This window comes from Homo sapiens, chromosome 4, assembly GCF_000001405.40.
Source record: "Homo sapiens chromosome 4, GRCh38.p14 Primary Assembly".
Lineage (NCBI taxonomy): Eukaryota > Metazoa > Chordata > Mammalia > Primates > Hominidae > Homo > Homo sapiens.
Window position 1 is genome coordinate 168,532,136 of NC_000004.12, and position 25,818 is coordinate 168,557,953.

The 25,818-nt window shown below is 38.5% G+C and overlaps 1 protein-coding gene and 1 long non-coding RNA gene across 13 annotated transcripts in view, besides 1 other annotated feature; one reads left to right on the forward strand and one right to left on the reverse strand.

Annotated features, from left to right (window-relative positions):
- Positions 1–25,818, forward strand: part of PALLD (palladin, cytoskeletal associated protein) — a 431,390-nt gene that overhangs the window by 35,084 nt on the left and 370,488 nt on the right. The gene's annotated exons all lie outside the window — the stretch shown is intronic.
- Positions 66–25,818, reverse strand: part of LOC124900807 (uncharacterized) — an 84,414-nt gene continuing 58,661 nt past the window's right edge. The window contains exon 2 of the long non-coding RNA XR_007058359.1: positions 66–5,651. This is a non-coding gene — a long non-coding RNA (uncharacterized LOC124900807). The remainder of the gene's footprint in view (positions 5,652–25,818) is intronic.
- Positions 22,146–22,315: an enhancer, noted in NCBI's record as "experimental_76181 CRE fragment used in MPRA reporter constructs". NCBI's record gives its function as "activates a minimal promoter by MPRAs in K562 erythroleukemia cells, with activity observed for both the introgressed and non-introgressed 4:169475517 variant alleles {active_cell/tissue: K562}" and the evidence as "EXISTENCE:reporter gene assay evidence [ECO:0000049][PMID:34662402]".

Consider the following 25,818-nt stretch of genomic DNA (forward strand, 5'->3'; position numbering starts at 1 on the left):
GTCCATGTGTTTTTATCATTTAGCTTCCACTTATAAGTGAGAAGGTGCGGTATTTGGTTTTCTGCTCCTGTGCAAGTTTGCTAACAGCCTCCAGCTCCATGCACATCCCTGCAAGGGATATGATCTCGTTCTCCAAAAGCCCTACTCTTATTCTCTACAGGGAAATCAGATCTTCACTACTTCAGAGGAAACATAGCACATTACTTATACCAGTCATCCTAAGTCTTCATTCATAAACATAATCTAACTATCAGAATAGCCAGGTATTATAGGAAAACAAGAACTTGGCCTCTCTATCTCTACCAAAATGAATGAATAGGACCAATCCAAGAAGAAGCTGAGTTATCTCAAGAAAAAACTTTAGGAGAGAAGATTTTTAAATCCCAATTAACAAAATACACCATCAATAAAAATAATATTATATTGCTTTGGGAAAAAGTAGGATATAATAAAATTAGAATAGAATTACGTAAGTAAAAATTTCAGAGGATTGTCTGAAAAATCAGAGGATAAAGCTAACTATCTTGTAGAAGAAAAAATGACATTTCTTAAAATGTAGATCACACAGGAAAAGACATCATAAATAGGGGAAAAGGATAGAGACTTGAGGGAGATTCATGGAGGCCAAGGTGCATTCAGTAGAATTCCATAAGAAGAAATCACAGATAATGAAAGAAAGGGAAACCATTGAAAGAAACATTAGAAGAAAATTAGCTTTTGCTGAAGAAATACAGGAACCTTCTGATTGATTGAAAGACACATCAATCAAGCATTGGGCAGGATAGATGTTTAAAAAATAATAAAGCTCTTGATGCAATCTCAAGATGAAGAGACAATTCTAAAAGCTTCTAAAGAATTAAAATAGGTTACCCAAAATGAAGAATCAGACTAACACCTGATATTTCACCAGAAGCACTAAAACCCTCGAGGACAATAATGGAAAGCATATTTGTGTGTATATGTTTTAGAAAGACATCTGGAAAAATATACATCAAACCTTTGGGAGTTGAGGGAGAAGACTGGCTTTTTACTTTCTACCTTGCTGTTGTTTTAATTTTTAAGATCATCTTTTATTACTTTTATAACTAAATTATTTTAAAAATATCTTTCCCTTCTAATTAATTCTATCCATGGACAGAATTAATTAGTAGGCAAAGAGACTAGACGCTGTTACCTAATTAGAATGTTATTATAACAGTCACTGACGAGAAACTGAGAGGGGAAGAACCTACAGTAATAGAAATTAGGGGCCTGAATCAAGGAATGTTTTGAAGATATTTTTCATGATTTGGTGAGTTATTGAAATTAAGAATAAAGGAGAAAGAAACAATAAAGGTGATTCCTACAAGTCTGAATGACTAGATGACTAGATAATTATGCCATTCAGATGAGAAAGACCAAAGGAGGAATAGATTTCTGTTGGATGTTACGGAGAAGTCCATACGATGTTTACGTTACGGACTTGAGTCTGAGGTATAGGAAGAGCATTCATATAAAGGGTCTGGCCTGTGGTCTGAAATGGGGGCTGGAGCTTGGGAGAGATGTTGACTGGAGAGATAGCTGGGCCATGGGGTGAGCAGACAAGAAAGAAAAGGACTCATGACAGATCCATGTGGAGAGCCTGCACCAGGGGAAACTGAGGGAAGAGAAGCCAGTGCTGCGGGAGAAGGAGTGTTCATACGGAAAGGAGGATCTAGAGAGATCAATGTCACAGCTAAAGGAGGACATTTTCTCCAAAAAGGAGAAGGATTTGCCACATTGACGAAGACAAGAAGGAAGAGTTGAAATGCAAGTTTTTGATAACTGACAATGTCATTTCTTCTTCAGGAATTTCAGGTTAATAAATATTAGAATGGCCAAATAATCTTGTATAATATATTATGGTTCATCAGGTTGTTCTCATACAGGCATCTCTTCATTACCAAGGGGCTTTTAACATCTTAAGCAAGGCAAAGGTAGAAGACCCCTTACAAGGTTGCACTTTATCTAGATTTCTGGAGAAAACATGGAGTCAAGGAGTCCACCCCTTAGGGATGAGTTTCCAGAATTCCAAGCTGAGGTCAATTCCTGAACCAGGAATACCAAGTTCAAGGAAAAGATGGGCTGAAGTCAGGACACAGAGGTGAGACCAAAGCCACCAGGAGCAAGACCAGAGCCAGAGACCAGACAGGGAAGACAAAAACACCATCAGCGAACGTGTTCATCTGAGAGTCAGTCAGAGGACATATCAGCAGTGGCACTATGAAACTAATACCTTCTTGCCTTTCAATCATTTGTCTGTCTTATTAGGGAAATGAATTGTTATCTGATAATATTTCCCACAGAAGAAAGTGTTAATCATTTATATTCTCAAGATCTATGACCTATAAAATATGCATATGGAGAAGATTGATACTTTTCTAATATGCATTATGATGAAAAAGAACTATTCATTTCAAATGGTATAATAGGGGAAGTGGTTCCTTCATCATTTTTGGCTTTTTGTATCTTCCACTGAACACATTTTCTCTTCTGAACTTCTCCAGTACATATTGTAATAGCACATGTCTGCTTCTAATCATTTATTACCTTCATACTGACATCTTTTCAACCACATACATTGTATCTTTGTCATGACAGCCACAGGGGCACCAATTCTGTCTTATTTTCCTTTGAATCCTCTATAGCTACTAGAACAGTTTACATAATAGGTTATCTCATACTAATTGGCTGTCTTTTATCGCATTACCCAAAGATAATGACTACTGAGGATTATTCCTAATACAACCTAATACAACCTCCATATCTGCATCTGTGGATTCAACCAATCTCAGATTGAAAATATTTGAAAAAAAATGGTGTCTGTACTGAACATTTACAGACCTTTTTTCTTGTCATTATTCCTTAATAATACAGTATAACAACTATTTACATAGCAGTCATCATATTAGGTATTATGAGTAATCTAGAAGTGATTTAAGGTATACTGGAGGATGTGCATAGGTTTTATGCAAATACTACATCATTTTATATTAGGAACTTGAGCATCTCTGAATTTTGGTATCCAAGGGAGGTCCTGGAACCACTCCCCCATAGATACTGAGGAATGACTATATTATTTCCTTATGTAGGTTTTTATATTTTTTAAAGTATTTTAAGGTACATAAGATCTCTTGATTTTCACAAGAATTAAGTGGCTTAAATGGGAGAGAGGGTGGATTACCACTTAATAGATGAGTAAACTGAGGTTCAAATAATTCAATGATTTTCCAAAAGATTCAGTATTCAAACTACAGTCTATACTTTTTAATTCTTAACTGGGTTACCTTCTACTACCAGAAGTGCTGTTGATTTTCTGTAATTGAGATTCAGATAACCGAACCCACATATCCTAGGCCAGTGGTTCTTATATGGTGGTGGCTGGGGCTAGGGGAAGACTTCAGGGGTGTATGCGTATACCACTTTCCAAGAAGAGATTGGAAATGTGCAGAGTTATCACATGGTGGGTATCACAATGGATGGAAAGTGATTGTGGCATTTAGTAGGATGGGGTGTTTAACACCTTGCAATACTGAAGCCACCACGGTGAGAATTGTTCCATTTGAACACCCATTGCATCCCTCTTAAGAAACTCAGCAAGTTTAGGCAAATAAAGGGAACTATAGCCACCTCTACAAATATCTGACCAAGAGTCCTCCTTTATGCTGTCTATAAGGGGTAAGTGAGCAAAAGCAGGAATTTAGCACACAATCCAGGCTCGTATTCTTTGTACATAAAAATACAACTATTACATCATCGCATTAATAATCACATAAGCAACGTGGTGTGTAATTTACAAGAACACTTAAAGAACTCTCAGTACCTTGGTGCCGGTTAGAGACTTCACTGAATACATTTTAACTTATACTCCTTTATTTGTTTTGATAAAAAAGAGAGTCAAACAGAATTGTCTGGAATCTTTTCTTAAGGTTAACAGCTTTCTGTTCCCCTTTGTTCAAGTGTTCATTTTAATAATCTAATTATTCCAGATCTATGACTCCTGCTACTCAGGACTCTCCCAAAAGACCCCTGACTTCTGATGTTCCACTTCTGCCTGTCCTTTAACCCAAATAGATTCCTGTTGCCCTTCCAGCAAAACAAAACGAAAGGAAATGACATGCTACAGAAGGCTTTCTTCTCAGTTTGCAACAAACCCTGTAACAAGGTTTTCCCTCTGTTTAGGATAAAGGTCTCTGGGCACCTAAGGCATTAAGCCACAGAGCATTGCCCTCCTGCATTATTACCATCCTGGGATTACCTTTTGAAACATTCTAGCATTTGTATTTGACCGTGTTCACACTGCTATAAAGAACTGCCTGAGATTAGGTAATTTATAAAGGAAAGAGGTTTAACTGACTCACAGTTCATGGCTGGAGAGGTCTCAGGAAACTTACAATTATGGCGGAAGGCAAAGGGAAAGCAAGACACCTTCCACACAACGCAGCACAAGGCAGGAAGAAATGTCAAGCAAAGCGAGGAAGAGCCCCTTATAAAACCATCAGATCTCGCGAGAACTCACTCACTATCACGAGACCAGCATGGGGGAAACGACCTCCATGATTCAATTACCTCCACCTGGTCTCTCCCTTGACACTTGGGGATTATGGGATTACAATTCAAGGTGAGATTTAGGTGGAGACACAAAGCCTAACTACATCAGCATTGAAAAGGTTCTCTCTTTTTTTTTTTTTTGAGACGGAGTCTCACTCTGTCTCCCAGGCTGGAGTGCAGTGGCGCGATCTCGGCTCACTGCAAGCTCCACCTCCGGGGTTCAAGCTATTCTCCTGCCTCAGCCTCCCGAGTAGCTGGGACTATAGGCGCCTGCCACCACGCCCGGCTAATTTTTTTGTATTTTTAGTAGAGACAGTTTCATCGTGTTAGCCAGGATGGTCTGATCTCCTGACCTTGTGATCCGCTGCCTCGGCCTCCCAAAATGCTGGGATTACAGGCGTGAGCCACCGCGCCCAGCGGAAAAGATTTTCTAGAGTTTAGTGCTTTCAAATTATCTTTACTACAGATACATTTCTAAAAGGATATGCCTTTCCAATTTCATTAAGTTGCTTAGGGTGAGAACACAGGACTGAGGAAATAATTGGGCACAAAAAACAGCTCTTACCTGTAACCCTTTCAAGTGCAAACTGTGATGACAAATGCTTTACTCACTCAATAACTAATAACATACTTTTGGTTACACAAACATACTGCTAAAAAATTGTATTTTCAATGATTGAAGCAATTATTCTACATAATTTTCACTTAGCAGTTCTAAGAATGTATTGATTTGTTTTCTGCTCATCTGGTATACTGGAGCAAATTGTTTAGCTGTGATGCTTTACAAAGTGCCATGTATCACTTTGTATCTCCAATTAAATTTCAATTAAGAAATCTTATAATTATCTTATATCAACCAGCCAAGAGCAGAAATTCCTCATATTGAATCATACTTACACTACTAATGAGACTGTCAAGGTTTGGCTTTATGTTTACCTCAGATAGGCGTCCAAAAACTGTGATGATTGTCCAAACTCTCCGAACATCTTGAGTCTGCAAAATTTCGCTGGCAGTCTTGTGGGAAGAAGTTTCTTTTCTGCATGAGCCATAGTGTCTGCTTCAAGTCCTGGCTCAAAGTCAGACTACAAAGGCAGACAAAAATGAGAGGGAAATTTTTATCTAAGTAGTTCAAAGCTTCAAAATGGATGAAAGGTTCAGGAAAAGGGAAAGTTTATTTTCTTTAAAACCAGTTCAACATATTTGGTGCCTATGGCCACATTCATGTTTAACCTGTTACAGCAGTAATAAATTGAATTCTATCCCCCTTCAGGTGAGAATAACCAGTAAGGAAACTTTCTGTGACATATTTTATATTCTTGGATCTTTTCCCTGTTTTAACACACAAGAGTGGCAATACCAAAACAAGCTGTGTTTTTATTTGAATTGTGCTTATACATAGGCATCATAAGTATATACTGAAGTATTTGCTTAAGCAAGTAGGGTATTAAGTAGGATTTTAAAAATAAGTAGAAGCAAAACGGGAATGATAATTGAAAATGTATAGAATTATAAAATGTGCCTCATGATTTGAAGTATAGATCCAGGGAATTATTCTGAGTAAGTAAACAATCCACTTCCTTTTTTCTATCTGGAATCTAATAAAATGTTTTAAAGGCTTTGCCCTTAAAATGAAAAGGTAAGTATACAAAGAAAATTGAAAGATTTAACCGAATGAGAAATTGCTTAATATAATTCCTACAGTCATGACATTCCAAGTTCAGAACAATTTGTTTTAAATTTAAATAAAATAAAATAAAATAAAATTTTATTTTAAATAAATTTTAAATAAAATAATAAAATTCAGTCCATTTTAGCCATAGACCTTGTTTTTCAAATGACCTTATGATTCAGTTATTATACCTGCGCTCATTCTGTGACAGGTCATTCCAGAAGAGACACAATTGTACAAAGCTGAACATAAAATAAATCTTGGTTTCTTATTGAATTTTAAATTACATTGGGAATGCTTTTGGAATAATTCCAGACCTTAGGAGAAAAAACGTCTCCCAACTCTAAAGTCCCAGGTTCCATCTCAACGTTTCACATTCACCGGCAAAGGCTCCAAAAATAAATTACAGGCAAGCTTAAAAGATCAGAAAGGCTTTCCCATTGTGCAAGTGGGTGATTACCCGCGATTGGTGTCTGTTACAGTCATTGTGTCTTTCTCTAGGATTCTCTCTCTGTTTCCGAAACACATATGTTCCAAGTTTTGGATGCTACGACTTCGTGTTCATGTGGTTCAGAATTTAGCCCTCCCCCAGCCCCTAAAAAGGCTGATCTTATGGGCGTGAAAAACAGGCATTTCACAGATTTAGATAAATGTATAGTGTGTCATAAAACTAGCTCATAGAATTATAATTTGAAATTGTTAAGAACATTGTGAGTACCTACTACCTGAGGGATGAATTTCAATGGCACACCTTATTTTGTTTCATCCTTACTACAGCTGTGCTATCCCATTTTACAAATAAGGAAAACTGAGGCTTAGAGAAATTAAGTAACTTTTCCATAATTTGTCAGCTAGGAAATGATACAAGTTGAGTTCAGATCTAAGTTTTCAGACCCCACGTCAAGGGGTTTCAGCTTTAAAAATTACGAGTCCTGCCCGGGCGCGGTGGCTCACGCCTGTAATCCCAGCACTTTGGGACGCCGAGGCAGGGGAATAACAAGGTCAAGAGTTCGAGACCAGCCTGGCTAACATGGAGAAACCCCATTTCTACTAAAAATACAAAAATTAGCCACCCGTGGTGGCGCACCCCTGTAATCCCAGCTACTCAGGAGGCTGAGGCAGGAGAATCGCTTGAACCCGGGAGGCGGAGGTTGCAGTGAGCCGAGATGGCGCCACTGACTGTCTCAAAAAATAAAAATAAATAAATAAATAAATAAATAAATAAATAAATAAATAAATAAAGATGCTTTGGAAAACCTAAAGGTTGTGCAAAGGCCTCTCACAATTTCTTTTCATAGTTAATTTATGAAAATGCAACACACAGTCTCATCAAAGCTCAAAATTATCTTTTTCATCCCCGTTGGTACCCTGTTGATTCTTCCAAACTAAAACACAGCTGCATATAATTCAGATTTATTATACTTTATTTTATTTTTTTAAATAATTTCAACTTTTAGATTCAGGGGGTACACGTGCAGGTTTGTTACATGGGTATATTGCGTGGTGCTGAGGCTTGGGGTACGATTGATCTGGTCACCCAGGTATTGAGCATAGTACCCAAGAGTTAGTTTCTCACCCCCTTCCCTTCTCCCTCCCTCCCCCTTCTAGTAATCCCCAATGTCTACTGTTGCCATCTTTATGTCCATGTCATACTTTTTTATGATGTAAACCAACTATAGTGTAGTCCAAGACCTTAAAGGCACCTGAAGCTGAAAAAGAATGTTAATTATGGCACCGTATTATGACCAAGTCATCCCAGTCTGTGCTGCGACATGAGCCCTAACGATTTTCTCATTAGCAGATGCTCTAGCTGGTTTCCATGAAGGCTTTCCACAGTGACTTCCATAGTCGTCATAGGCGACTACTATCAGATTCCATCTCAACGTTTCACATTCACAGGCAGAGGCTCCAAAAATAAATTACAGGCAAGCTTAAAAGATCAGAAAGGCTTTCCCAGCATGCGAGTGGGTGATTCATTTGATTTGTGCCTGTTACAGTCATTGTGTCTTTCTCTAGGCTTCTTTCTGTTTCCGAAACACAAAACTACAGAAACCACCTCACCCTCTTTCTGTCCTTAGGGTTCATGCTAATTATGTTTTTACTCTGAAACGGGTTTTAGGATTGAAGGGCCATGTCGAATGGTGATAATTCTATTTCAGTTAGACAAGAGCCTGGAAAAAAAATTATTTTAAATGAGTTTCAGTTTGCGCATTTTTTTAAAAAAAGAGCAAAAAGTATGCATGTATGTTTGTTTTTACATTCTTCTTTATTTTTATCTTCTTACTTTGCTTTTTAATGAGTCATTAGCATTGGAAAATGAAAACAATTTTTCTCTAGCCAAGAAATATTGCAGGTATTACACATTCTCCTACATCAAAGCAAAGGCACTCCAAGCCCCCTTTTTAATGAAAAGAGTTTTTAGCAGGTGGGAAGAAAAAAAAAAAAAAGCACTTGCTCCTGAGATGATAAAAAGCCATTTTTCACTGCAAAATTATTAAATTAGCTGTAAGGAGTTGGAGTTTGTATTTGGCATTCCTTCTCACCTCACCCCAGCCTTCATCTCTCATTGCATTTTTGTGGAAGGGTTATAGATATACTCTAAATTGTTGACCTATCATGGAGACGGTAGTTAGTCTCCAAATTCCCTGTGGGCAAAGATGATTGCAGCCTCCCTGCTAATAAGTACACTTCAGTTCTATGAAATTTATACTTAAAAGAAAACAATGGAAAATGTGGCACAAACACATTGTCATATTTACGCAGATATGTTGACTCACTGTTACTTAAGCGTCAATGAATTATTCAGGGCTCAAGATGGGGATAAATATTCAGGGAGGTAACTGCACTCATTCTTTATCTGTTTGTGTTATTCGGGTTTTTACTTGGTTTCTTTATTTTTGCTTTTTTCTCATATGAGAAGTGTTCAGATGACAGCACATCCAACAACAAAATTCAGCCCCCATCCTATAAAAACGTCCTCTCTTAGACTGTCTTGTTAGTTGTGACATATTTTATTGTAAACTAAAACTAACTGGGAATTGGGTTGTATTTATTTTACACTCTCACTCATTTTATTTATTTATTTATTTATTTATTTATTTATTTATTTATTTATCTGTTGAGACAGTCTTACTCTGTCGCCCAGGCTGGAGTGCAGTGGCATGAGGCCCAGGTTCAAGCGATTCTCCTGCCTCAGCCTCCTGAGTAGCTGGGATTACAGGCGCTCGCCACCACACCTGGCTAATTTTTTTGTATTTTTAGTAGAGACAGGGTTTCACCATGTTGGCCAGGCTAGTCGCAAACTCCTGACCTCCAGTGATCCGCCCACCTTAGCCTCCCAAAGTGCTGGAATTACAAGCATGAGTCACCATGCCCAGCCTCTCTTACTCATTTTATAATAGATCCAGTCTTTAAAGAAATATAAGCCATTTGATTGCCCAATTATATGTTGCAAAAAAATAAAAATGTTGAAAAGTGTCCCTTCCAGTCAACAGATATTTATTGAGCACCTACTCAGTGAAGACACTGTTCAGGATGCCCAGAATACAGGAGTGAACAAAAGAGACAAAAATGCCTGCCTTTTGAAGCTGACATTTGAGTTGCAGAGGTGAGGGGAAAGTGGTGGTGGATCTACCCTAACATTTGCGTTATCACTATGTGCTCAAATTCGTATGTGTATGTTTCCCAAACTGGTCTCATCATCACAAACACACACATACACACACCTTTAAGGTTATACTGCTGTTATCCACGTTTTGCAAGTGAGAAAACTGAGGCACAGCAAGGATAAGTAATGTGTCAGTCACCCAGGTAGTGAATGACATGTCCAAGACTCTAGCCTGAGCAGTTTGTCTCTGGGATCTGTGGTTTTATGGTAACTAAAACCGCCACTCATGGCTAGACATGGTGGGTTGTGCCTGTGGTCCCAGCTACTCGGGAGGCTGAGATGGGAGGGTGACTTGACCCTAGGAGTTCGAGGCTGCAGTGAGCTATGATCATACCACTGCACTCTAGCCTGGGCAACAGAGAGAAAAAAGAAAATTTTTTAAAATAAATTAAAAAAAAAACTGCTGCACCCTATTAACAATTATTGTGGCAGGTTTTTAGTGGCAAAGAATTCTGAAGTACTTTGTTGAGTGCTCCCACCTAGGAAACTAGTCTTTTACCTAACTTGGCACTTTATATCAACCACAACCACAATCCAGCAGTTTCCATAAACAGAAAAATTATACCATGACTACTTATGTAAAGCTATATGTAAGGCTCCCTATATATTTATGTAAAGCTCTCTCTCTCTATATATATATATATATGGTTTACATGTTTCTCCCAGCTAACCTTTCCATATATATATATATATATATATATATATATATATATATATATATATGGAGAGAAAGAGAGAGAGAGAGCTTAGGCAGATACCAACCTTGGGTGGGAATCTTTCACATCCTTAAAAAGGTTTGGGCCTATCTGATGGCCTTGTTGCGTCATTGCCCTCTACGTGGCTGGACCCAGAGCAAGGGCCATTTCCAGACAGTCTCCACCAGCCCACTGGATTCACCTGGCTCCTCAGACCTCTGCCTCTTCCATTTCCGTATGACCTAATCACCTGCTGTCTTTTGATATATTAAGATTTTGTGCCACTCTCCTACTGAGATGGACCTTAAATCCTCATGAGCTGATACTGTCTCGTCTACTTTATGAGAAAGTATAGCACAGTAATTAAGAGCACAGCCTCTGAGCATGTCAGCTAGGACCACTTCCTAGCTCCATCATTTGCAAGCTGTGTGACACTGAGAACGTCACTTGCCTTGTCTGACCCTCATCTTCTTCATTTGTAAAATGGAGACGATACTACTGTTGAGAGGAATATATGAGTTAACAGATAGAAAGTAATTAGGATAACACATGACACCTAGTTGATAGTATATAAATTATATTTATCTTTTTTTTTTTTGGCATCTTCCCTCTCCACATAATCTCGTCTCAACTGCAGGGACTACAGTTAAGTTTAACTGGGCTTACTAGGCAAGATGTGGTACTAAATGGGCATCTAGTTTAATGTATAAAACACAATCTCTGTAAGTTTTCCTCTATTCTGCCTCCGCCACAGTTGTAAGAGAGAGACATTTCTACCTCCATAATGGTGTAGATGATTGAATGCAAATGGCAGGAGGGCAAAAAAAAAAATTAAATGAAGTAAATGAAAATGAGCTAAATGTTTGAAAATGAGCTACATATTTAATTATATTAAATACTGTATATTATACCCTGTCCCAAGAGTCTGAGTCATCATTTGAAGGGTACCTTCCCACAACCAGCCAAGCTGGGAAAAGATACCCCACCTTATAGACACTATTGGCTCCCTCCAGCCTTTCGAAAAGTCTTAACAAATACTAAATCTGCAGACTGCATTTCATTGCTAAAGTCTTACAAAATTTTAGTTCTCAGCAGAGACATTAGTATCTTTGGGGAAAAAAAACCCAAAGGAAGAGATCCTTCTAGTTTTGCTCACTCATTAAAAATGTGTTGAATAATGAATGAATTTGGTGTATTTGTGTATACATGAAGATGTACTCACGTATATGCATATATAGAGAATATTTGCCAATAATTGTTTTATATATATTCTTTCTCCATTTTTACTGCCTGAATACTGAAAACAAATTTCTTGACTTAATTCTACAAGGCAAATATCACATAATCTGCTATGCCAAATGTCATTGATAAATCATGTATTTATCTGTGTGAATGTGTTCCAACTTTTAAAATTAGAAACTACATGTTCTGTTTATACTTTCTCTCACTGATATATACTGATTATTAGATGATTTGAAATTTAGTTCTAAGTGCACATTTCTGCATATCCTGCAGTGTTAGCAAGATAAGAACTTGACTTATTTGTCCATTTCAACAAATATTTTCAGTACCTATTATATGCCTGGCATAGGCCCTGTGGATATCAAAATAAGTAAATGCTGTCTTGCCTTGAGTAGTATAATATTGCAGCATAGCTCATGGTCCTGGTAATTCTTGAGGTTAATGTGTGTGTTAATTACCTATTTATAGGTGTATCCATTAATGGAAAACTTCCCAGGATCTACTAGGCATTTAAAGATGGGAGAGTGAGCTTGTTATTATAAATAAATTAAGCCAACCATTTACTTAGAATTTTTTATCCTAATTTAAAATACAGATAAGATTATATGACTTTTAAAAATCATCTTGAATTACTAAAATACTTAAGTGAATTGCAAAATCAAAAAGGATAATTTCGTTTTACACTTATTTCTATTATCAGCATTTGTAGAAAATTTTACACTTCTTATTTCCTAGTTTATTCAGAAAATTCCAAGGCTGTTCACTAAAAAAGTTAACTGATTTTGCAAGTAATCTCATGAGCTAGCCCACCCTAACAGAAAGGGACCATTTTTACACCAGGACAATGTTTCTCCCAGCTAACCTTGTTTCTGGAGGGTTGTCCAAGTCATCCCCAGGGAAACAACGTAAAAGCTACTTCAGATTTTGTGGGTCTCTTGGGACACAAACACCATACACGTGCCTATATATGACCGTCACTCACTTGGGTAGAGGCTAGCATTGTCAGGACAGATGCAGGTCTGATTTCTCAGATCCAGCAACTTCAATCCTTGGAATATTAGATTAACTCTCTCAGCCTGTGAGAGGAAATCAAAGTGGTGGCAGAAATAATCCCGGAGCTCAGACTGAAATCATTTCCTCATGAGCTTTTTATTTTCATCCTCTCTGGTTTCCAAAACTCAAATTCCTTACTTAGTATCTCTCTAAAGCCTGAGTCCTTAGTGTAAATGACTATTTCCTTTACTCTCTTTTAATAGAACTCAAGATTGGCCGGGTGTGGTGGCTCACACCTGTAATCCCAGCACTTTGGGAGGGTGAGGCAGGCGGATTACCTGAGGTCAGGAGTTCAAGACCAGCCTGGCCAACATGGTGAAACCTCGTCTCTACTAAAAGTATAAAAAAATTAGCCGGGCGAGGTGGCAGGTGCCTGTAATCCCAGCTACTTGGGAGGCTGAGGCAGGAGAATCACTTGAACCCAGGAGGCGGAGGTTGCAGTGAGCCGAGATTGCACCACTGCACTCCAGCCTGGGCAACAAGAGAGAAACTCTGTCTCAAAAAAAAAAAGAACTCAGTTTCTTTTTCTCTATTGCTTCCTACAGCTAATCTATAGCAAATTACATACCTTGTTTGATTTTTTACCTATTCACTCTTTTAATCTGAGCCTTCTGTCTATCCTCCTTTTCCCACATCTGTCCTAGATCCATTCCAGTTGTGTGACTATTGCACTGCTCTTTCCTATTTCAAACACAATATCATTAGGAATACCAGTATTTATTTACAATGACAAAACAACTGAGTTTTGTAATTACATAATGTCAGTTTATCAATATATAATATCCACTTCCTACAGTCAGAAAGAGGAACAGTTCTATCATGTACAATTATGATGGGAAAGGTGGAATGATCCCTTATGCAGCAATTTTAAGTGAGTTCATGATTTTAAATTACTTAAAATAAGTGCTAGGAAGCTCCCATTTTCAAACCCTTTATTTTCCTGGCTTAACAGAGGAATAAAATGCTATTTAAATGCACAATTCCATTCTAAAAGAATGGATTCTGTTAGGAAAGAAATTTAGGGGTAGCTCTTTCATTTAACCAAGCAGCTTGATAGCTTCTGTATATGCACAGGTTGGCCTGGAGCTGAGTTTGAGAGTAAGGAACAGAGAAAGACGAATTACTGTGTGTATTCATCTGAGAAACATATGGAGTTCCTGCAGGAAATATGAGAGGAAGAGAATAAAGAACAATAATGAGAGTGAGAGCAGTCAGCAAGATCAGAGTGCTCAGAACATATCGGAAGCCAGTAAAAAATTCCAACGCCCCCCACCCCCCACCCACCAAAAGAAAGTTTAAGAACAGAGATGCCTGCTTTTCAAATTAAAATGTTTATCATTCCAGCTCCTTAAGCTTTCCTTGCCTCCCCCAAATTACCAGTAAAATCTCTTAGCACAGAAAATCTTTGTGTGAGTGAAATTCTGTGAAAATCAGAACAAGAAGCTGAGCTATTGGGGTCCACAAAGCAAAGAACAGGTATAGCCCAGGCAAGATGCTGGGATTTGAACTTGAAGATGGATCTTAGAGCCAGGAGTTACCATGAGAATTTAAGCCCCTGAAAATTCATAGACATCCTGCAGGTCTTTAAACTTTCCATAGGTGCCGAAATGAAAAAAGTTGGTCCAGTATAACCCAGTTTTTGAGGATACCCGCTGATACGTGTACTATAATCAAACATCGGTTTGTCACTGTCCCACTTAAAATGTGAGGGCTAAAACTAAGCGCAAATTCCAAATGATTTATTTCCAGCACAGAGAAGAAGTTGGGACCTCTCTTATTTCCTGAACCTGATTATACTTCTATGGATACTATAAAGCAGCCTAGGTTTACATTATGTATTTCAATCCATCACATGCTGATCTCATAGCCACAGATTTTTTTATTCACATGAACAACTGTCTTCTCTCCCTGTTCCCCAAAGCTGTATTTCATAATTTTTTTAAAGTAATCTGAACTTAACACCTTATATTTTTCCCTATTAAATTTTACCTTTTGGGTTTTTGTGGCCAGCATTCCAACCTGTTCATACATTTTAGAGTTCTGATTCTGTTACCCCTTGTCTCAGCTGCAGATTTGATCCATCTGCCTTTACCTGACAAGGGGTTATAAGGAGCCGTGGACAAAGAGAAAGAATACAAATCTCAAGCCCTGGACCGTCGCCCCACACGCCTACTAACTGGGTGTGTGGCAAGCACCCGGCCAGTGATTTAACCTTTCAGAAACTAAGTTTCCCTGTTTGTAAAGTAGAAAAGCCAATTTCTGGCAAACTTGCCTCAGGTTATTAGGAAAACCAAGTGGGGAGTGTGTGGGAGTGTGTGTGTTGTGTGTGTGTGTGGCCAGCATAACACCGCCAATAACACCACAATGAACGTGGAGCCCTCTGGGGTAACTGTGAAGATCTCCTTCCAGGCCAGGCATGGTGGCTCATGTCTGTAATCCTAGCACTTTGGGAGGCCAAGGCAGGCAGATTGCCTGAGCTCAGGAGTTTTGAGACCACCCTGGCCAACCTGGTGAAACATTATCTCTAATAAAATACAAAAAAAAAAAAAAAAAAAAAGCCAGGTGTGGTGGCAGGTGCCTGTAGACTGAGCTACTCAGGAGGTTGAGGCGCAAGAATTGCTTAAACCTGGGAGGCGTGGCCAGGCACAGTGGCTCATGCCTGCAATCCCAGGACTTTGGGAGGCCGAGGCGGGCAGATCACGAGGTCGAGATAGAGACCATCCTGGCCAACATGGTGAAACCCCATCTCTATTAAAAATACAAAAATTAGCTGGGCGTGGTGGCGTGCGCCTGTAGTCCCAGCTACCCAGGAGGCTGAGGCAGGAAAATTACTGGAACCCGGGAGGCGGAGCTTGCAGTGAGCCGTGATCGTGCCACTGCACTCCAGCCTGGGCGACAGAGCAAGACTCCGTCTCAAAAAAAAAAAAAAAAAAAAACCTGGGAGGCGGAGGTGGCAGTGAGCCGAGAATGTGCCACTGCATTCCAGCCTGGGCAACAAAGAGCAAACAAACAAACAAACAAACAAACAAAAAAGTCTCCTTCAGGCTCAGCACAATTAATTATCCAGCATGTGCTTCTTGAACACCAACTACACGTCAGACCCAAAGTGTTCAACATAAAAAAATTAATGAGACAAAAGGATCTTATCTAAAGCCATTAATAAGAAATTCTAAAAGATTGAAGGGGAGAGTTCAGTCACCAATGAGGTAATATTTACTGTTAAATTTTATTGCTCTGACTTAAAAATGGAAGAGGCTCTTCCTTACTTTTTTTCAGATGAAAAAAGGAAAAGAGATCATTTCCTTCTAACTCAGGAAAAAAAAAAAAACAGGGAAACACTAATACTCTCAGCAGATCATATTACTCCTAAATTATCTTTACACTTCTTTGTTTTCTGGTGTACACAAAGAAAAGAAGCAATGATTTGAGATGATTTTGAAGACAAAGTTCTTCCCAATGACTAGTTAAATCTAAAGAGATTCCCCAAGGCTGAATCTCAGAAGAGGCTAATAAAATACTGATATGAGAGATGAGAGAGTCTGGCGAAATGGTCTGGTGTGGGGCCTGGGCATTATCAGGGAAATCTAATGCAAGTCCTAGGTGAGAACCATTGTAGGAGAGACAAAGTAAGGAGAGTTGAAGTTCAAAGCTCTGGGGAAGAGCATCCTATGATATAATAAAGGATAATAAGGATATACAAGTCTTATTTTTAAAACTATCTTACATGTTTCCTTTGAAAGGTTGCTTTAAAATTATTACCGTAAATGATTTTATTCTTGAAATTAACGATTTAAATACAAATTTGAGGAGCGTGGTAAATAATATGAAAGTTGCAGACTGGGTACAGTGGCTCATACTTGTAATCACAATATTTTGGGAGGCCAAGGCAGGAGGTTTGCTTGGGCCCAGGAGGTTGTTGTAGTGAGATTATAGTGAGCCATGACTGTGCCACTGCAATCCAGCCTGGGTGACAGAGCAAGACCCTATCTCTAAAAAAGAAAGAAAGAAAAAAAAATTAAAAAAGAAAGTTGCTATTAAATCTTGAGGAAAATATAATTATCTCAGAAAAACACCATCTGATGATTTAAGCCACCATCTGACAATTTAAATCACTTACTCTCTATAAATATTTAAATTTCCATGTGGTCTGCTTTTTGAGTGATGAATTTTCTTTTTTTACAAAGATATCATTGAAATAATTAAAATTGTCAATTGATTGCAATGTCACACTTCTCAAAAAAAAAAAAAATTAGTATTGCAGCGTCTAAACCAAAAGCATAAGGGCAGTGAATGCAAAACAGATGTTCATCTCGGTGGGTGTTCAAAACAATTTTTTAAAGTCAGATGTCTCTGTATATGTGTTTGTACAGCCTCAAGACACGGTCTTAACAGTTTATATATTTAAATGCTCACTCATTTGATATAATGTCAAGTAAACAAGATAGCATTAAAATCAACTACTCAATTAATTTATTTTTTCCATCCTTTATTTCTACGGATTTTTCAAACATCTAGTACTGAAGGATCTTGACATTTTTAACCCAGTACATTCCCTCCCTCTTATTAATACTTCACCCAATTATCTTTTTTAAAGTATCCTATTTAGAGGGAAGCTAGAGCCTATAATTTATTTTAATATTCTGGTGAGAGATGAGAAACAAAGATATCCATCAAAGGGCTATTTAATTTTAGAAAAGTTAACCAGCCATTAGACATTCATGGGCAATAGTTCAAGGAACAAGAACCACAAAAAAAAAATGAGAGTTAGAATTGAAGAAACAAATCTTTAACCCTCAGAAAACCAAGAGGTTTTTTAATACCTTATTTTCTATAGTAGCATTTAGCAAAAGGCAATGAAATTCTATCCCCAAAATGAAGAAGTTTATGATGGTTCTGACAATAATTCATTTATGTAGAATTATATTATTTACACTTTCATCCATGTTGTCTCATTTATTCCTCCCAACATCTTTGAGTAATCATTTTACAAATAGAAAATAAATCTGAGTAATTTCTCCATTAGCCATAGTGAATACAACACATTAGGAAATTAATGCCAGGTTCATCTCTCTCAATGCTCAGTGCCATTTCCCCTGTATCAGCAAATACTTAGGATAACTGTGGGCCTGGGATTGTGGAGGGATTGGAACTAAAGCACACTTAATAAAAAGGAGAGAAGAGTTCCTCAGGGCTAATCCTAAGTTAAAAGGGATGACTTTACTTTGTCTGAGTCAGTGCAAAACTACATTTTTTTTTATCAAAACAGAAAACGAAAACAAAGAAAAATGGTAAGTGCTTCAATCATACCATCCAAAGCAGAGAATTACCATATTCAAGTCATGGAGCTCCCCCAGGCCTACAAGTATTTGAGTTATTCTAGTTCTCTGTTCCTCTGGGATAAAATAGAATAAAACCCTGCAAGACTCACAGGGAAAGCCAAATGTGGAACCGAAGCAAAAGGGGCATTTTTGGCAAAATGACAAAACACAGTAAGCCTCTATAACTAATCTGGACTTCAAGCTAGAGATATTTATGAGCTTCTAAAGAGCCACTGGGAGAGTCTCCCCGTGCCCAGTGCCCACCTAAACTTCTGTAGTTACATTCCTCACTCACTATGGGGGCGCCCTCTTTGGGAACTTTGCTAATCAAGCTGGGCACTCAAGATCAAATTTTTGCTATACAAGCAAATTAGTCTCACTTATAGGGGGTCAGTATTTCGTTTTGTCTCTTTAGAGACATATGTTATGAATCCCTCAATTACTAATTTAGTTTTGCTTTTCAGTTTGATACTCTGCCCCCAATCCATGTTCTTTCATTGAACTGTAATGTTTTACTACTTGTCATTATTTTTGGAAAAACAGTTTCTAACTCTCTTGTTACTAGTGCTAATTTGCATAATTTGAATTAATGGAGAATTTGCCAACACTTACGTAGCTTCTACAAAGTTTGCAGTTGCTTCAAGAATTTTCACATTTTATAAATCCAGTGACAAAGTTTAGAGTTATCTATGCACTGTAGTGTATACCCTTGTTACATTATAATTTTTATACCCCTGAAAGACTTATTACAAATCACAGAAAGCCAAAATCATTGTATTCTTGCCTGAATTGGGTAGTCTGTTTTTTTCAATTTCTCTTAATTTGATGAATAAAAAATAAATCTATTTTTATGTGCATTTTTGAATATGAATTATATTTTCAAATGTTTTTATTTTCTCTTTCGTGAATTGTTTGCTCAGGTCTTTTGCCTATTATTTCAGCAATCTGAGGAAACTCTAGGGCAAAATAAGGAAGCTGCTAGCCACATTTTATAACTTGCTTAAGAACTGGCAATGACAGTTTATCAGGATTTTATACATAAGGATTCCAGGAGTATACTTCATAACCACAAACTTGGGAGTCACAATTCTTTTATTGTGTAAATGGTAGAATTCCTGAGTGCTTGGTGCATTAGTTATTAAAGGAAATAAAACAAAATTTCAAAATATAGTAACCATGAGGACTAATTTGTTACCTACTCTTTGTAAAGGAGATATCAATGTGGATAAAAACAAACCTGGGGGTACATATATTAAGACTTTCAAAGGCCCTTGACAATAGTTTAGAATAAAAATGATGTTTCATTTTTTTTTAACATTTTATAACTTGTTTTTTTAAATTAAAAAAAAAACAAAACAGGCAATGTGAATCATGTATTTAGAGCAGCTTGTCCATGGCTAGTGAACTGGCTTGGAGGTAGCAAACCAAGGACAACTCTCCACTAAATGAAGTAAAATTAAACACTCGTGTTGGCTTATGATCAGTGCTGGAAACATCTGACTCTGATATTATAGTGTGATTTGGAAGAGAAAATTCACGATGACATTTCCAATTTTCAGATGACACCAAGTTTTTCCAAGTCATGACATACCAAGTCAAATTGGGAAGGAAGATAGAGGAAGCTCCCGTGAGTCTTTGGTTTTGAGGTACTACTCCACAAGGGTAAACCTTTGAGATGTATACATTAAATACATTAGGTAAAATCTTTGAGATTTACCCTATAAGGTAAATCTCTAGTGTCATTGGCCCAATTTAAAGATGTGAAAACTGAGTCTCAGAGATGTTAGTTTAAGTCACCCAAGTTGACTCAGCCAGTAAGTGAGGAGTTTGTATTTGACATCAATCTAAATAAGAGCCTATCCTTTACTGCCCCCAATGTGAGAGAGGAAGGAATCACACTCATGAAGGGACCCAAAGCCAACGTGGGGTGAGGGGAGGGCAGGAACCTGGGAAGTTGGATTCATTTGGTTTTTTGAGTTGGTGAGAAACAAGCAGGTATATTTAAATGTGGGGAAGTATGAAGTGATATTTTTAAGGAAGTCCAGTGCTGCAGGAAAATGAATCCCTGGAATCCATGAGCTTTCTTATACCACTTACTGGCAACACAGGCTCTAAACACTAACCTGCCAGCAACATCAACCCAGTTCATTAGCTAACTTTTCCTGTTTGGAAACACAATGGCAAATATTATCCTACCCAGTACAAAGCCATAACCCCCTATACAGGAAGAAAGCTGTGGAAATCTGAAGTGAAATTTTAAAATTGTTATATATTCCTATGTATTTAATATGTGGGTTTTTTGGGGGGTTTTCTTGTTTGTTTTTGTTTTGTTTTGTTTTGTTTTTGAGACAGAGTCTCACTCTGTCGGCCAGGCTGGAGTGCAGTGGCATGATCTCAGCTCACTGCAACCTCTGCCTCCCGGGCTCATGCGATTGTCCTGCCTCAGCCTCCTGAGTAGCTGAGACTACAGGCGCGTGCCACCATGACCGGCTAATTTTTTAATTTTTAATAGAGACAGGGTTTCACCATATTGGACAGGCTGATCTCGAACTCCTGACCTCAGGTAATCTGCTTGCCTTGGCCTCCCAAACTGCTGGGAGTACAGGCGGGTGCCACCACGCCCAGACAATATGTGTTAAGCATTGTGCTAATACTTCATATGCTGGGCAACATCCAACAACCTATAACCCTACAAACCTATAACCCAACAACCCTATAAGATAAATCTCTAGTGTCATTGGCCCATTTTAAAGATGTGAAAACTGAGTCTCAGAGATATTAGGTAAGTCACCCAAGCTTACTTAGCCAGTAAGTGAGGAGTTTGGATTTGAAACCCATCTAATTGAAAACCTATTCTTTACTGTCCCCATATGTAAGAGAAGGAACCACAGCCATGAAGGGACTCAAAACGACTGTGAGGAGGGCAAGTCTGGGGAAAAAAAGCCTTATAATGTTGTAATGGCTCTGGTAAAAGTCTGCAAAAGGTAGAGATGGGTGAAGTTAAAGCAAACAGAGTCTAAGTCCAAGATAAGGTAATTCATTTATAAGAGTCATTAATGCAAGTGCTACAATTGAAAATTTTTTAACGTAAAATGTTTAAACTAGTAAGTGACATATTTGCAATCAGTGGATTCAGAAAAATTAAGTTACTGGAGAGAATATTCCTGTGCTTGGGTTGGCACTAAAGAAAGATAACTCTGTCTGCCTACAAAGGAACCTGTGGTATTGCTGTCAGAAAAAGAAGGCTGGGGTGAATTAGACTGAACGTTTGTGTATAATGATTCTTAATCTGTACTTCAAAAATGTATCATTAGACATGCAGATATGTTTACCCATTTTTGTTGTTGTTGTTGTTGTTGTTGGCCTTGCTTTGTTTTTTTGGACTGTTTTTCCTTATGTCTAACTTAGATTCTGATAAGCACCAAGCTGCTTCCCTACCTGAGTGCCTTGGAATATGCATTTTTCCTCTTACTGGAATGTTCTTTCTCCTCTCCCTCCTACTACCATTCAATGGAGAGGGCTTCTGGGTAGGGTAGGGGCATCATGTTATTTTTATTTGCTGAATCAGGGAATTCTACATTCTGGAAGGAAACTTCTGATATTTGTGACAACGGCGATTTTAAAAACTGTTCATTTACCACATCTTTCCCTGAGTCCAAGGTCCGTGGCAGCAGAGACCATGTCTGTCCAGCCCCCACTGAGGCCAGCGCAGTGCCTGGCACACAGGGAACTATCACTAAGCCCTGGTTCAATGCCGGACATCCTTCGGCTTGTACATGAAGCCCGGTAGCTCTGTTTTATGAGGGTAGGAAACATCTGGTCACCATTGTTTATGAAATATTTGCCACCTGAAAAACCATTATTATTAGGTCATTCCTTGTTCCTTGCTTTATTTTTCTGAGTTTTTTTCTCTCCATTAAGAACATATTTCCTGGAACTCCTTATTGGCAAGGAAAGCTAACTCACTTTTTACTTTCTCCAATACCCTTATTGAGTTTCTCTCTTACTCTTCAGACCGCCAATGATTAGTGGGGAAATCTACCAATGCTGGAGCAAAGACACTATCCCATCTTTAACGGGGAGAAATTTGTAGAACCATAAAACTACAGCAAAAGTGTTGAACACCTCTATGTCAGCCAATCCGTGGTCACCACAGATGTTCATAGTCTCACAGCAATGCATGTTACCTGTATTTTTAGAATTGTTTAAAACAAAAGCGACTATTATTATTTAACAAGTTGTAATGCTGACATGGTAAACATTAAAATATTTGAGGCTAAGTACGCTCTTAATTTTTTTAAAAGATTTTTGTTATGGAGCAATTTGAAAGTCTTTAATGCTCCATATATAAAGAAACCTTTTTATATTTTGCTTTATATATCTTTCGTTTAATAATCTTGATTTCAGAATCTACCAGAATTTAATTCTAGAGCCCTCCAAAATAAATAATCAGCTTTCAGGTTATCTCAACAACTTCACTGATATTTTAAAGAAAAACCTATCATATTTATACTATTTACTTTTATACTATCATGTTTATACTATTTATATTTATACTATTCATATTTATACCAAGATACAAATTAAAAACACTGGAACAAAATACATTAAAATGGAAACAATGTTTGCCTTCGTAGGGCATAATTTTGAGTGATTTTTTGTTTCTATTTTTGTATTTTTATTTGTATACGATGAGATTTATATGCAAGGAGAAAAAACAAACAAAATATTCAATTTTATTGGAGTCCAGTCTTCTAATGAAGTATGAAAGAAAGAAACATGTAGATCTACTATTATTAAAGATTTATACGAATATTAAGGATGTTCCCTGGGGTGTTTTCCCCAGTGAATTGAACTTGTGAATAAGTCCTAAGTGCCAGCAATGAAAGCGAAGCAGGTATCTGTCAAGGCTGATTAGGAACGGAGCATAGAGAATAGAACCACAGAAACCAAAGAAGACTAAAACTGGTTCTAAGGGTTGAGGCCTGAGAAAAATCCATACCAGGTTCCAGCCTTTCCCTAACTAAAAAGGAGGAAGATGGCTGAATCTGCCTGGTGGGGAGAGGGGTAATTTGCTGCAGGTGGAACCACTTTATTCAGACCTGAGCACCGCAGCGAGCCCTCTGTGGACCCGCTTTGCTGAGAAAACTTGCTGCTCCCTGGGTTCTATCCAGAGCAGCCTGGCGATTGTGTTCTAATTTTCCTTTTAGATAGCTGAATATGAGTATTAGAATGAAAGATCTGATATTAGCAGATCAATCATCTCTTTCTCCACTTTCTGTTACACAATTAAACCAGCAGGTGAGGCAGAGTGCCGCAAAAGTAAGTAGACCAGCTGTTCCATTTCAGAATAGACTTGCCAAGCATAACACATTTAGAAACAAAATGCAGTTCATTCCAAAGCAGTTGATTTAATCCCTCATTATCCATTTATGTATTCAGCATCATGGCCCATCTTGACACCTTATTAATAAATTATTCAAAAGCTTACCTCTGGATAGCATAGTTGTTAAGACCTAGGGATCCAGTCAAAAAGAGGGATCGATTGCAGGCTCAGATGCAAATTAACTCTATAACCTAAGACACCCTATTTAACCTTCTTAAATCTTCATTTCCTCATTTGTAAAATGTGTATAGAACCACCCCGAAGTTCCGGGATCATGGATTAGAGAGAGAAAAGGTTTAAGACCTCTTAGCACAGCTTCTAACACATAGTATAGTCAGTGTTCGTAAATGGAGTTCATATTAATACCCTTTTTTTTTTTGAGACAGAGTCTCACTCTGTCGCCCAGGCTGGAGTGCAGTGGCGCAATCTCGGCTCACTGCAGGCTCCGCCCCCCGGGTTCACGCCATTCTCCTGCCTCGGCCTCCAGAGTAGCTGGGACTACAGGTGCCCACCACCACGCCCGGCTAATTTTTTGTATTTTTAGTAGAAACGGGGCTTCACCGTGTTAGCCAGGATGCTCTCGATCTCCTGACCTCGTGATCCGCCCGCCTCTGCCTCCCAAAGTGCTGGGATTACAGGTGTAAGCCACGGCGCCCGGCCATATTAATACCTTTTAAAATAGGGACCAGAAGTTGAAGAAGAAGAAGTGAAGAAAAAGGTAAAGTGTTTTCCCTCTTCCATTCACATATATTTTTCATTTTTTAAAAATGGGCTTTCCGGAAGTGAAACTCCTGTACCAGCGAAGCAGGATGCTTTCAATGTGTGCAAATCAACCTCTTGGTAGCCTGCCTTTTAAAAGCTCAAACTATCCATCCCCACACAAGTCTGGGACTCTTACCCTGTGTTATTTTTTAAGTCATTTAAGTCATGCTTGAGAGGAACATCATTGTTACTATCAGTCTTAACATCTTAATTCAAACCAGCCTAACAAAAAAGACTGAGAAAATATGAAAGTACAGAAATTTGTGCTAGAGAAAAAGATGGGAGGAAAAGTGTCACACCTTGGGGCTGCCCCGATGTCTCTTTGCCTCTTAGGTGCAGGGTACTCCATACTCTCGTGACTAAGGCATGAAGCCTAGAAGAAGTGGCTACTTCTGCCTGTGGTTTATAGCCCTACTTTATTCTAGACAGCTCCCTGCACAGATTAGAAGGCAGGAAGCAGAGCAAGTGTTCCTGTAATCAGCCTCCCCCGGGAACTGTCAGTATTCAATGGGCTCTCAACTCACATTTCCACTTGTTTTTGTTTTGTTTTGTTTTGTTTTGTTTTGAGACAGAGTCTCGCTCTGTTGCCCAGGCTGGAGTGCAGTGACGGGATCTTGGCTCACTGCAACCTCCACCTCCCGGCTTCAAGCAATTCTCCTTCCTCAGCCTCCCGAGTAGCTGGGATTACAGGTGTGTGCCACCTCATCTCAGTAATTTTTGTATTTTTAGTAGAGATGGGGTTTCACCATGTTGGCCAGTCTGGTCTCAAACTCGTGACCTCAGGTGATCTGCCCATCTCAGCCTCCCAAAGTGCTGGGATTACAGGCGTGAGCCACCACTCCCGGCCTCCACTTGTTCGTTCAATATACGTTTGCCCTATAGAGTTCCATGCATCTGAGAATATTCCAACAAATCTTAGACCATTTCCAAGCAACGGATCCCTATTGTACTATTTCTTCTATTTCTCTCTGTAAGCATTAACTTTGAAACTACAGCCATTAAATCATATTCATTAGTTCATTCCAGGCATAATCAATATGTTGGACTAGGACAACTCAAGAAGTAAACAAATCATAATCAATTCCTCTTGTCCCCTACCCCTTTAAACTTATTCCATTGGACTGCAGTAATCTTCCTGTGTCCCAATGTGGAAACACATAGACACTATCCACTGTTACGTAAGGTGCCCTACATGTGCATTAAATCTCAAGCACGGTCTCCTTCAGTAGTAAGAAGGCCTAATCCCATGTAATTCTCAAACCTCTGAGCTTGTTGTGGTATGAGATTTTCTCCCCTACCCCAGTTAGGACCTACTTCAGGCTTGAGTCAGCTGTGAGCAGGGGGATTCCCTCCTGCTGTTAATCTCTCCCTGCTCACCCCTGTCTGTGCACTTCCTACCAGCAGGGATGTGGGAAAGGGAGGGAAGGTGGGGAGATAGGACAATCCTTACTTGGCTG